The sequence below is a fragment of the Homo sapiens genome, chromosome 4, assembly GCF_000001405.40.
Source record: "Homo sapiens chromosome 4, GRCh38.p14 Primary Assembly".
Taxonomy (NCBI): Eukaryota; Metazoa; Chordata; class Mammalia; order Primates; family Hominidae; genus Homo; species Homo sapiens.
In genome coordinates this window covers 103055284-103068142 of record NC_000004.12, presented here as the reverse complement: position 1 = coordinate 103068142, position 12859 = coordinate 103055284, and the positions used below count along the sequence as shown (strand labels likewise).

At 36.6% G+C, this 12859-nt stretch overlaps 1 protein-coding gene across 12 annotated transcripts in view; it reads left to right on the top strand.

The window, feature by feature from the left end:
• SLC9B2 (solute carrier family 9 member B2) overlaps nt 1-12859 on the top strand; it is a 59291-nt gene that overhangs the window by 9177 nt on the left and 37255 nt on the right. For 7 of the 12 annotated variants that reach the window (NM_001370201.1, NM_001370206.1, NM_001370202.1 and 4 more), the window contains exons 2-4: nt 551-682; nt 1636-1816; nt 10172-10342. In NM_001370201.1, the coding sequence (NP_001357130.1) occupies nt 593-682; nt 1636-1816; nt 10172-10342 (442 nt within the window). In that variant the 5' untranslated portion in view covers nt 551-592. The remainder of the gene's footprint in view (nt 1-550; nt 683-1635; nt 1817-10171; nt 10343-12859) is intronic. The other 5 variants (NM_001370205.1, NM_001370204.1, NM_001300754.2 and 2 more) reach the window with 1 other exon arrangement.

Sequence of the window (12859 nt, the reverse complement as noted above, 5' to 3'; positions counted from 1 at the left end):
AATGACTAAAAAGTGACTACCATAGCACTCATCATAGTGTCTGAGACATTCTGGCTACTCAGTCAATTGTGGTGTATTTTTAAACTTTAATTTAGAAATAAGAACCAGGCAGGAGTTAGTGACTCTAGATTCTCCGAAAAGGATGAAATCCAGAGATTTCCCTTTAGTGACTCATTCCTCATATCAACATTGGAAAGTTACCTGGAGACTTCCTGCTTCATCCAGTTGGCCCATGAGAGAGGACAGTTTAACACTGATATTGCTTGGATTGTTTTTAAGTTTAACTCAAAAAATAATATGGGAAAGAAATCATAAAAATGTGATTGGTCAACAAAGGCTTTTTCAAGAAAAATAAAAAGGTAGATAAGAATGATGATAATATACTAGAATCAAGCAAAAACAATAACCAGCCATTGAAAATTAAGAATAGTCTAATTTCAAATAGTTTAGCCATTCGGAATTTTTAGGGAAAAAAATAAGTACAATCCAAAGTCTTTGAAATCACAAGACTTTCAAATTACTGCTCTATATCTATACTCTTTCAAAACAGATCTCGTTCCTCTTCCCTGTGTCATCTTCTTAATTATAAATAATGGGGGATGAAGATAAAAGAATTACATATGAAGATTCAGAACCATCCACAGGAATGAATTACACGCCCTCCATGCATCAAGAAGCACAGGTAAATCTAAGCTGTGATAGAATTGTGTTTTCTTCATATTCTACCACTCATTTACCAATTCTCCTATCCCCAAACTTACACAATCCAAGGCAGGTGTGACTACCAGTTTTCCCAGCTAACATCATTGCCAGCTGACCCTACCTGTAACTAGAAAAATGGAGAGCCTATGAAACGCTTTGTGTCTCTGACCTAATCTCTAGAATGGTTTTGGTTTCTTCCTTTTTATTGTTTAAATTCAAGTAGATTAATGAATGTGAAGTGGTTTTCATTACAGATAGTTATCTTTTTCTAAACCACTTTGGTATATGTGCCAATTATTGCCCTGAATTTTATCTTAAATATGCTTATTTTAAAACCCAGTATTATAAAACATAATAAAATGTTATGTGACCCAAGCATTTATAATACAGGTTGAATATCCCTTATCTGAAATGCTTGGGACTATAAGTGTCTTGGATTTTTTTTTTTTTTAATATTTGCATGCACCTAATGAGATATCTTGCAGATGGAACCCAAGTCTAAACAGGAAATTTATTTATGTTTCATATTTATACAGGTAATCCGAAGGTAATTTTATATAATATTTTAAATAATTTGTACATGAAACAAAGTTGCATTTGACTGTTACCTGTCATGTGACTTTAGGTGTGGAATTTTTCACTTGTGTGTCATGTCAGTGCTCAAAAAGTTTCAGATTTTGGAGCATTTCAGATTTTAGATTTCCAGATTAGTGATACTCAACCTGTACTAAAAATAGTGACTGTGCTAAATACTCCTAGTATCATTCTTGTTTCAAGCTGATTAGCTAGTAATAAAGCTGTGAGTTTTTTCTACAAAGTGTTATCCTTGATGCTAGTCATAGAAATTTGATTTGTAAGGTGATGATGCAGTACCTATAAATATGTGTAAAATATATACAGTTTTAAGGATTTTTAAAATTACTTTAAACACAGGAGGAGACAGTTATGAAGCTCAAAGGTATAGATGCAAATGAACCAACAGAAGGAAGTATTCTTTTGAAAAGCAGTGAAAAAAAGCTACAAGAAACACCAACTGAAGCAAATCACGTACAAAGACTGAGACAAATGCTGGCTTGCCCTCCACATGGTTTACTGGACAGGGTCATAACAAATGGTAAGGATGAATTCAGAAAGAGATGGCAAAAGATGAAGTTGTTATAATGGCAGATTACTAAATAATATGGTTGAAAGGACAAAAAGAAGTTCACTTCTCCCAAACATAAAAACTAGTTGGTGAACAATTCACACACATGGGTGGCTCTGCTCCACACATTCAAGGGAAGGACCTAGACTAACAGGGCTCCACTGTCTTCACCTTGGCTTTCAGGATCACTGTGGTCACCACCATTGTGGGAAGGGGGAAGGAACACAGATCAAGGACCTTTTCCTTTACTATATCTGAGTAATTTCACAGGATTACGTTAGGACTGTAAAACACTACATAAACGTTTGTTGTTATTACTGTTAAGTAATGCAAGTAATATTTTAGCAAACACAGCCCCATTTATACTTCCAGATGAATCCTATTACTTTATAAGTAAGAATATTGGTTTGCAATTCAGCTTATTTTAGTAGAGTTGCTGTTACATAAGACATTTGGGGGATTTTTCTTTGGGAGTTTATCTCAGCACTATTTTGAAAATTTTTAGGCTTGTATATGTTTGTCTTTCAGGAATGGATTTGGTCTTTGAAGGAAGCCAAAGGTTATTCTGCCATCAATTTGATAAATATATGGAAGTTCAGATTGATTTATGCCCTATTTTTCTTCAGAAATGAATTGTGTGCATATGTGTGTCTGTGCTGTGTATGCTGGGGGAATATGTGATAAAGCAGAAAAAAGAAGAGATTTGAAAATTATCTATAAAGGCAAATTAGGTTTTTTTAAGAAGACAGTATTCTTTTATTGAGACTTAAAATTTATTTTATTTTTTACATTGATAGATAAAATTGTATGTATTTACCATGTGCAACATGATGTTTTGAAGTATGTATACATACTGGAATGACTAATTTTAGCTAATTAACATATGTATTACCTCACATAGCTGTCATTTTTTGTGGTGAGAACACAATACATTCACTGTTAGTATTTTTCAAGAATACAATATATTTATTAACTACAGTCTTCATGTTGTTCAATAGACCTCTTAAACTTATTCCTCCTGTCTAACTGAAATTTTGTATCCTGTGACCAACAACCCAATATATATCACCCAATATACTTGAGTTATATGTGTGTGTGTGTGTGTGTGTGTGTGTGCGTGTGTGTACATTTTTTTTTTCATGGATCTTCAGATTTAAAGTCTAGAGAAAATTACATGTCAAGGCATTGGTCATGGTCTTCCTGCCACTTTCACCTCCCCCACCCAACCTTTTTTTTCCTGGAGACAGGATCTTGTTATGTTGCCCAGGTTTGTCTTGAACTCCTAAGCTCAAGGGATCCTCCCACCTCAGCTTCCCAAGTAGCTTGTTACAGATGTATACCACTGCATCTGGCAAAACTAGTTTTAACCGGCCAACTTTTAAATGCCTGGAATCTATCCACAATTTTTCACTTTTATAAATCATATTTTCAAAAGATAAAGATAATTTTAACATCAAAATATAAAAAGAATTGTTCAAAAACATAAACATCCATTCATCAGCATTATTTATTTATTTTTATTTTTGACACATATTTGTACATATTTGTGGGGTACAATATGATGTTTCAATACATGTATATATTATATAATGATCAAATCTAGCTAATTAGCATATCTAACACATGAAGCATTTATCGTTTCTTCATGGTGAGAACATAGAAAATCTTCTGTTTTGAGGTATACAATACCTTATTCCTGACTATAGTCACGTTGCTGTGGTACAGAACAAACTACTCTTCCTATCTAATTATCACTTTGTACCTGTTGACCACTCTCTCCCCATAACCCCAAGCTCCTCCCCTCCCCAGTCCCTGGTAATCACCATTCTATTTACTATTTCCATATGAACAACTGTTTTAGATTCTACATATGAGTGAGAACATGCAGTATTTGTCTCTCTGTGCCTGGCTTACTTCACTTAGCATAATGTCCTCCAGGTTCATCCATGTTGTTGCAAATGACAGGATTTCATTCTTTTTTATGGCTGAAAAGCATATCATTGTGTATATACACATATTTTCTTCATCCAGTCATTCATTGTTGGACACTTAGGGTTGATTCCATATCTTGGCTATTGTGAATAGTACTGCAATAAACATGGGAGTGCAGAAATCTCTTCAACATACCGATTTCATTTCCTTTGGATACATACCCAGTAATGGGATTGCAGGATCATATGGTAGTACCATTTTTACTTTTTTGAGGACTCTCCATACCATTTTCCATAATAGTGGTATTAATTTACATTCCCACCAATAGTGCACAGAGTTACCTTTTCTCTACATCCTTGCCAACCCCTTGTTATCTTTTGTCTTTTTGATAATAGCCATCCTGACAGGCATGAGGTGAAATGTTGAACATTTTTTCCTATACCTGTTTGGCCATTTGTATGTCTTCTTTTGAAAAATTCAGGTCTTTGCCCATTTTAAATTGGATTATTTGTTTTCCTGCTATTGAGTTTTTTGAGTTCCTTTTATATTCTGGACATTAACTCCTTGCCAGGTACATAGTTTGCAACTGCTCTCTCCCATTCTGTAGGTTGTCTCTTCACTCCGTGGATTGTTTACTGTGCAAAAGCTTTTTAGTTTGGTGTAATCTGGTTTGTCTGTTCTTGCTTTTGTTGCCTATATTTTTGGAGTCATATCCAAAAAGTTATTGCTCAGACCAGTGTCATGGAGCTTTTTATTTATGTTTTTTTTCTAATAGTTTCATAATTTTATGTCTTACTAAATTTGCCTTTTAAAGAAAATTTAAAGGCAATTTCAAAAATTGTGTTCAAGAATAATAGCATCATTGAAGTAAATATATGGATGCCCACATATGTTTACTGAAAAATGAGACTCAATTCCATAGTTATACTTTGTGGGCTCTGAAAGACATGTTTACCATTATCATCTGGGACAATGAAAGATAAGCATAATATACTATACTTTAGGCTCTAGATGTGTTTTTAATGAAACCAAGTCAGTTTACTTAACTAAGCATGGAAGAAAATCTCAAACTTAGAACATGTACAGAAAACCAGAATCCAAAAATATACACTAGCTGATAAGATCACAGATAATTGAATACCTTTTCTGTTCTTTTCATTATTTTTTTAAACTTTTATTATTCAAAATATGGCCTACTTATAGTTAAAACGTTTACAATGAAACAGATATGGACTGACATAAGGAAAGAGTAAAAATGAATAATGTAATTTTGGGACACATTTTTTAAAAATGTATAATCGTTCATAAAGCAGCCTGAAAAATGAGGTTCATGGTAGATAAACATCTCATCGCTTATTTTTCTGTTCTTCTGTTCCAGAGGTTTACAAGACGACTTTTGTCCTATATTTTTTCCTGTGCCTATGCAGTATATATCAGTATTCTTCTTAAAAAGTAGGCTGGGCACAGTGGCTCAAACCTGTAATCCCAGCACTTTAGGAGGCCAAGGCAGGTGGATGACGAGGTCAGGAGTTCAAGACCAGCCTGGCTAACATAGTGAAACCTCATCTCCACTAAAAATACAAAAAATTAGCCATGCATGGTGGTGGGTGCCTGTAATTGCAGCTACTTAGGAGGCTGAGACAGGAGAATCACTTGAACCTGGGAGGCGGAGGTTGAGATCGTGCCATTGCACTGCAGCCTGGGTGACAAGAGTGAAACTGTCTCAAAAAATAAAAATAAAAAAAGTAAATCTTACATGTGAAAATTTGTGGTTTTCCATAATCGTAAATGAGAAGTAAATTGTTAACTGATTTAAACATGATTTAGAGAAACCTTATAGACATACCATTTGCTATGTATTTACAACTGTGTTTCAAGTAAAGCACAGGGAAAGAGAGATTTTTTTAATAGTCTTGAAGTAGAAAAATCTCTCTTTTTTTTTTTTTGAGATGGAGTCTCACTCTGTTGCCCAGGCTGGAGTGCAATGGCTCGATCTCGGCTCACTGCAAGCTCCACCTCCTGGGTTCAAGCAATTCTCCTTCCTCAGCCTCCTGAATAGCTGGGATTACAGGCACGTGCCACCATGCCCGGCTAATTTTTGTATTTAGTAGAGACGGGGTTTCACCATGTTGGTCAGGCTGGTCTCGAACTTCTGACCTCATGATCCGCCTGCCTCGGCGTCTCCCAAAGCGCTGGGATTACAGGCGTGAGCCACTGCGCCCAGCCGAAAAGAGAAAACACTTAATTCTACCTTGCTGAATTTAATATTAGCTTGGGTTTATGCTATGATAAAGTATAATTTAGTATAATAGCTGGCAAATCCTGCTTTCCCATTCTACCTCTGATATCGCATAGAAATTTCAACCCTTGTAGCTAATTGGAAAATACTGGAAGTCCCTTAGGTATTCCACTGCAGTAGTATCATAAGCCTAGAAAATCTGGAACAATTCTGTGAGGGTTTAGAAAAAGGGACATTGAATTCAGTCTCTAGCAGTATGGTAGATGAGACTCAATGAACAATCTTGTCACAAACCAAGGACATCATCTGAAAAAATGTTTTAAGTCTTTTGAAATGATCTGTCAAGAAAACAGGGAATCATCAGACACCAAAACCAAAGTGTAAGTAGCAGAGGTCAGTAAGCACTCAAGGTGGCCCCACCCTGGAGGTTTCTACCAAACCTCAGGGAACTTTTTTTTTAATTATTATTATACTTTAAGTTTTAGGGTACATGTGCACGACGTCCAGGTTTGATACATATGTATACATGTGCCATGTTGGTGTGCAGCACCCATTAACTCGTCATTTAACATTAGGTATATCTCCTATTGCTATCCCTCCCTCCTACCCCCACCCCACAACAGGCCCCGGTGTGTGATATTCCCCTTCCTGTGTCCATGTGTTCTCATTGTTCAATTCCCACCTATGAGTGAGAATATGCGGTGTTTGGTTTTTTGTCCTTGCAATAGTTTGCTGAGAATGATGGTTTCCAGCTTCATCCACGTCCCTACAAAGGACATGAACTCATCATTTTTTATGACTGCATAGTATTCCATGGTGTGTATGTGCCACATTTTCTTAATCCAGTCTATCATTGTTGGACATTTGGCTTGGTTCCAAGTCTTTGCTATTGTGAATAGTGCCTCAATAAACGTACGTGTGCATGTGTCTTTATAGCAGCATGTTTTATAATCTTTTGGGTATATACCAGTAATGGGATGGCTGGGTCAAATGGTATTTCTAGTTCTAGATCCACCTCAGGGAATTTGAGATTGATTTTGAGAGCGCTGTGAGCACAGGAGGCTAAGCTAGAGCCTGCCCAGGTTGGGAGAAGTCTAACAGGAAAAAGCATTCTCCTTCACCCATATAAAGTTGAAACCCAGTGTGATGCCAAATTTGAGGTAAATCTGTTCTGCAGATGGGGCCTCTGACTAAACCTGTCTCAACTGTAGTTGCTGGCTGGGGCAGGTGTGGAGTCGCCAATAAAAATGTTTAACTTCATCCTGATTTGTCTCCAATTTCACAGAAAAAATTCAATTTGAAAATGTATCTATTTTCAAAAAACATTTTCAGATGGTCTTGGATGGGAAGCTTTTAAGTACATGGTAGAAGTAAATTCATTCCCATCTGGGAAAACTCATTCAACCTAAGGCTTCAACAAAGTTAGACAAAGTTCCAAGGGAGAGCTCACTGTTGCAAAAGACAAACTAAAAAGTTTAGTTTTAGACAAAGTTCCAAGGGAGAGCTCACTATTGCAAAAAACAAACTAGACAAAGTTCCAAGGGAGAGCTCACTATTGCAAAAAAACTAAAAAAAAAAAAAAAACAAACAAAAAAAACATGCAAAAGGAAACAAAAAAACAGATTTCAAAAATGTACATTATCAGAAAACAGAATATAAGACATTTATATATATAAAGAAGTTAAGAATTAGAAAACATGAGTACAAAACAAGTAACTTTTAAAAATGAATAGATTTGAAGAAGAACCAACTTGAACTTCTAGAAATGAAAGATATAGGATAGTAATTGAAATTAAAAACTCACTGGACAAATTAGGCAGCAGATTAAGTGAAAAAAATGGTGAACTGGCAAATAAATGTGAAGAGATTATCTAGAATGCAGTACACACAAAGATGAAAGATACGAAAACTAGGGTTAGCAACATGGAAAAAGAGAATGGGGAAGAGGAAATCTTTGAAGAAATAAAGGCTAAGAATTTTCCAGAACTGATTTTTTTTAAAAAACATAAATCTTAAGCAAAACAAAAGGAAGTCACACCTAAACACATCATACTGAAAGGAAAACCAAAGAAAAAGAGAAGATGTTGAAAACAAGGAAAAAGAATTCCTTTAAAAAGCTGAAATCAGGCTCTTCAAAACCAGAAAACCAAGGAATAGTATTTTCAAGGAATGGAGAAACAATAACACTCAACCTAGAATTTAACATAAAACTGAGGTATACCTAGAAAAACTATCCTTTAAGAATGAGAATAAAGATAATTCCAGATGATACAACTAAGAATTTACTGTAACAGATTCTCCTGAGAAATACAACATGCTGTGATACAGAGTGTTTCTATGTCATGAATTAGCTCATATGCAATGGTAAATAGAATTTTGTTAGAGTGTATGGAATTTGCAGTTTTGTGTATAATTTTTCCTGGCCCATAATATTTTGTATCGTCAAGCAATAGCAAGTGAAGGCAAAGTGAACTGGGGAAGAAAAGACCAAATATATGCTTTCTTACAATTAAAGATAAAGCCTTCCCTGCATGAGGACCTTTTAAAGGACGAAATCTCTGTGGAAGTGCTGACTTTTCATGCAATTAGTAGCTGGTTTAGGGGCTTCAAGGACTCAAACATTCTACAACATTAAGCTATCTAATAAAACACATGTGGATGAAGCGGCTGAGAGTATAAGCTGAGGTAAAGAAGCTGCCAACGCTTTTCCTTTTGTTGAAATTTATTGTATTGAGGCAGAGGGCTAAAATATGGATCAGATTTTGATGGAACTGCTCTCTGTTTAAAGAAAATACCCTCAAGAATTTCCATCTTGAAGTAGGAAATGGGAGGCCAGGTTTAAGTCTGTAAAGAACAGACTGCCTGTATGGGACACAAATGTCAGTGTGTAGATTCATCTGTGCTAAGACTCTTATTAGGATTGTTTTGGTTTTTCTTAGTGCTTTGGCCACCAGTTTTGAGTGGTCTGCCCCAACTCTCTTTTTCCCATAAACTTTTCAATTTTTAGTGCACAGTTTTGTAAAACACAAGTTTTCAAATGGAAACATTTCACTTTTTTTTTGGCAGGGTATCGCTGTGTAACACAGGCTGGAGTGCAGTGGTGCAATCGTAGCACACTGCATCCTCAAACTTCTGGGCTCAAGGGATCCTCCTGCCTCAGCTTCCCGAGTAGCTGGGATTACAGATGCCCACCACCATACCCAGATAATTTTTATATTTTATATTTAGTAGAGACAAGGTCTCACTATGTTGCTCAGGCTGGTTTCGAACTCCTGAGCTCAAGCAATCCTCCTGCCTTGACCTCCTAAAGTGATGGGACAGGCATAAACCACCATGCCTGGCCTATTTCACATTCTTATAGAAATGCTTTTCCTAAAGGAAATGCTTTAGGCAGCAGGATAATTGTCCCAGATGAAAAATTTGAGGCTGGATGAGGAGGTTCACACCAGTAATCCCAGCACTTTGGAAGGCTGAGACAGGAGGATCACTTGAGCTCAAGACTTTAAGACCAGCCTGGGTAACAAGATGAAACCCTGTCTCCACTAAAAAATTTTTAAGAAATTAGCCAGGCATGGTGGTACACACCTGTAGTCCCAGCTACATGAGAGGCTGAGGCAGGATGATCACTTGAGCCTGGGAGGTTGAGGCTGTAGTGAGCCATGATTGTGCTACTGCACTCCAGCCTGGGCTACAGAGGGAGACCCTGTTTCAAAACAAAAAGAAAGAAAAGTTTGAGATGCCATAATGAATGATGATTTCAAAAAAGGTACCTTAGTAGGTAATTCTAAACAAATATTGACTATAAAAAAAGTAACAATAATGTCTAATTCAAGACAGAACTAAATTTGTGTTAAAATTATAAAGAAAAAAGTGAATGGTGAAGAAAGTCAAAATAATGGTTCCTTCTGGCAGTATAAAGGGAGATGGATGGGGAGGGGCACATAGGCAGATTCAAAAGTACTGGTAATATCCGATTTCTTAAGATGTTGGCAGTTACCCAGTTGGTCATCTTACTGATACTCTTTACAGATTAAACATGATTATAAATATTTGCATTTTCATTCAGTATTTATTTTTACAAATTATTTTAGATTTTGTCAAAACCTCCATGTGACAACTTATTGATAGTAACTAGTATTCCTGGTTTATTTCAGTTACCATCATTGTTCTTCTGTGGGCTGTAGTTTGGTCAATTACTGGCAGTGAATGTCTTCCTGGAGGAAACCTATTTGGAATTATAATCCTATTCTATTGTGCCATCATTGGTGGTAAACTTTTGGGGCTTATTAAGTTACCTACATTGCCTCCACTGCCTTCTCTTCTTGGTAAGTGCTAAATGTTTCCTGTTCTATCCAGAGTAAACTATATTTTTAAGATAATAGTTTGGAAAGCTTTGGGAAATAAAGGAATAAAATATTTCTGTATTTGCCATGCTGGAGCCAAAAGCCAGTTGTTAAATTTTGAGTAGTTCTGTAATCTAGTTGTTAAACATAGCAATTTAAAAAATTAAATTATCCTGGCCCGTGTGCTGTGGTTCACACCTGTAATCCCAGCACTTTGGGAGGCCAAGGTAGGCAGATTGCTTGAGCTCTGGAGTTCGAGACCAGCCAGGGCAAACATGGTGAAACCCTGTCTCTACAAAAAAAATACAAAAATTAGCCGGGCATGGTGACGTGCACCTGTAGTCCCAGCTACTCAGGAGGCTGAGGTGGGAGGATTGACTGAACCCAGGAGGTCGAGGCTGTCATGATTGCACCATTACACTCCAATCTGGGCAACAGAATGAGACCTTGTCTCAAAATATGTTTGTGTTTGTGTGTGTGTGTGTGTATATATGTGTGTGTGTGTGTGTATATATATATATATATATATATATATATACTTAAAATTAACTGACATTAAAAACAAGCATTCAGTGCTCAACACTGAAGACTTCCTAATGTTTTAGTCTATTTCCCCTCACCTATGCTCTTGAGATTATGGAAATACTACATAATGGTGTGCCACTGCCACCTCTTCCCAACTCCACGTTCAGTGACATCATGTTGTAGCTTAAAATCGGCCATGGTAGAAGTATCTGTAACAACAACAACAAAAAAAATCAGCAAATGCTACAAATCAAAGTTTGTCATAGTATAAGTCACTTATGACATTGACAGAGTGAAGTTCTGACATGTATTTTTATTGTTTCATTTTCATCTTATAAGCAAAAATATCAACCAACATTCATGGTAACACTGCACTTGCTCATTCATGATATGTGACTTCTTTGCTGAATCAGATAGTATGCAACCATTTATTTGTAGTCTGATTCTGTCAAATCTTGGTAGAACTGCAACCATAGATGGTTATGGACACAGAAGTTTGACAAACAGCAGTGAAAACATTCTGTGAGAATAAATTGGCTATATAGAATTTACAGTGAAGATGGTTGTATATTTGTAAACTGTGTGCTGCACATCCTTTATATCAGTAAAATTTAATAATGTATGTGCCTATATAAAATGCATACTTTTTTGGCAAGCCACCTGTTAAGCATTTACCAGCACACCATTGGGTATATTTAAAATATAATATTGGCCGATCATGGTGGCTCACACCTGTAATCCCAGCACTTTGGGAGGCCAAGGCAGGCGGATCACCTGAGGTCAGGAGTTCAAGATCAGCCTGGCCAACATGGTGAAACTCCATCTCTACTAAAAATAAAAAAATTAGCTGGGCGTGGTGGCGGGTGCCTGTAATCCCAGCTACTTGGGAGGCTGAGATAGGAGAATTACTTAAACCTGGGAGGTGGAGGTTGCAGTGAGCTGAGATCACACCACTGCACTCTAGCCTGGGTGACAAGAGCGAGACTCCATCTCAAAAAAGATAAAAATGAAATAAAATACCATGATTCTTAAAGACATAGCTGAAAATACTCTTCCAGAGGCAATGAGAACTGCCCAAACAAGACACATACACAAATTAGTCTTAAAACTAGGTGTGATACCTTTAACGTTTCTTCAAAGAATTCTGCATTATAGGCCAGGTGCGGTGGCTCACGCCTGTAATCCCAGCACTTTGGGAGACCAAGCCGGGCAGATCACGAGGTCAGGAGATTGAGACCATCCTGGCTAACATGGTAAAATCCCGTCTCTACTAAAAATACAAAAAAATTAGTCAGGCGTGGTGGCGGGCACCTGTAGTCCCAGCTACTCGGGAGGCTGAGGCAGGAGAATGGCGTGAACCCGGGAGGTGGAGCATGCAGTGAGCCGAGATCGCGCCACTGCACTCCAGCCTGGGTGACCGAGCGAGAATCCGCCTCAAAAAAAAAAAAAAAAAAGAATTCTGCATTATAAAATTTGTTTACCACAGAGGCATTTTGTGTTCATTTCTAACAGATTTATTAATCACTCAGTTTTAGTAAAAAACCACCTACCTTTCATACATGCATATATATTTACACACATTTCCTGAACAGTTTTTTTTTTTCTGTTAGCTGTATGAGTGAGAACAATCAGGATTCGCTAACATTCACCAAAATTATCTGCTTTTGAACTTGTGGTCAGTAGTTAAAGTTAAATATAAAAAGAAGTAGAATTATTTATCTCTTACTATGCCCCATTTCTCAATGTATTTCTAATTTTAGGTAAAACTAAAGATAGTCCACTTAATTCATATTATTTCTCATGGAAACTTTTTGTTCTCTAAAGTTATTAATTGTATTATTGTTAAAATGAATTGTTTCTTTTTTTTAAATTATACTTTAAGTTTTAGGGTACATGTGCACAACGTGCAGGTTAGTTACATATGTATACATGTGCCTTGTTGGTGTGCTGCACCCATTAACTCATCATTTACAT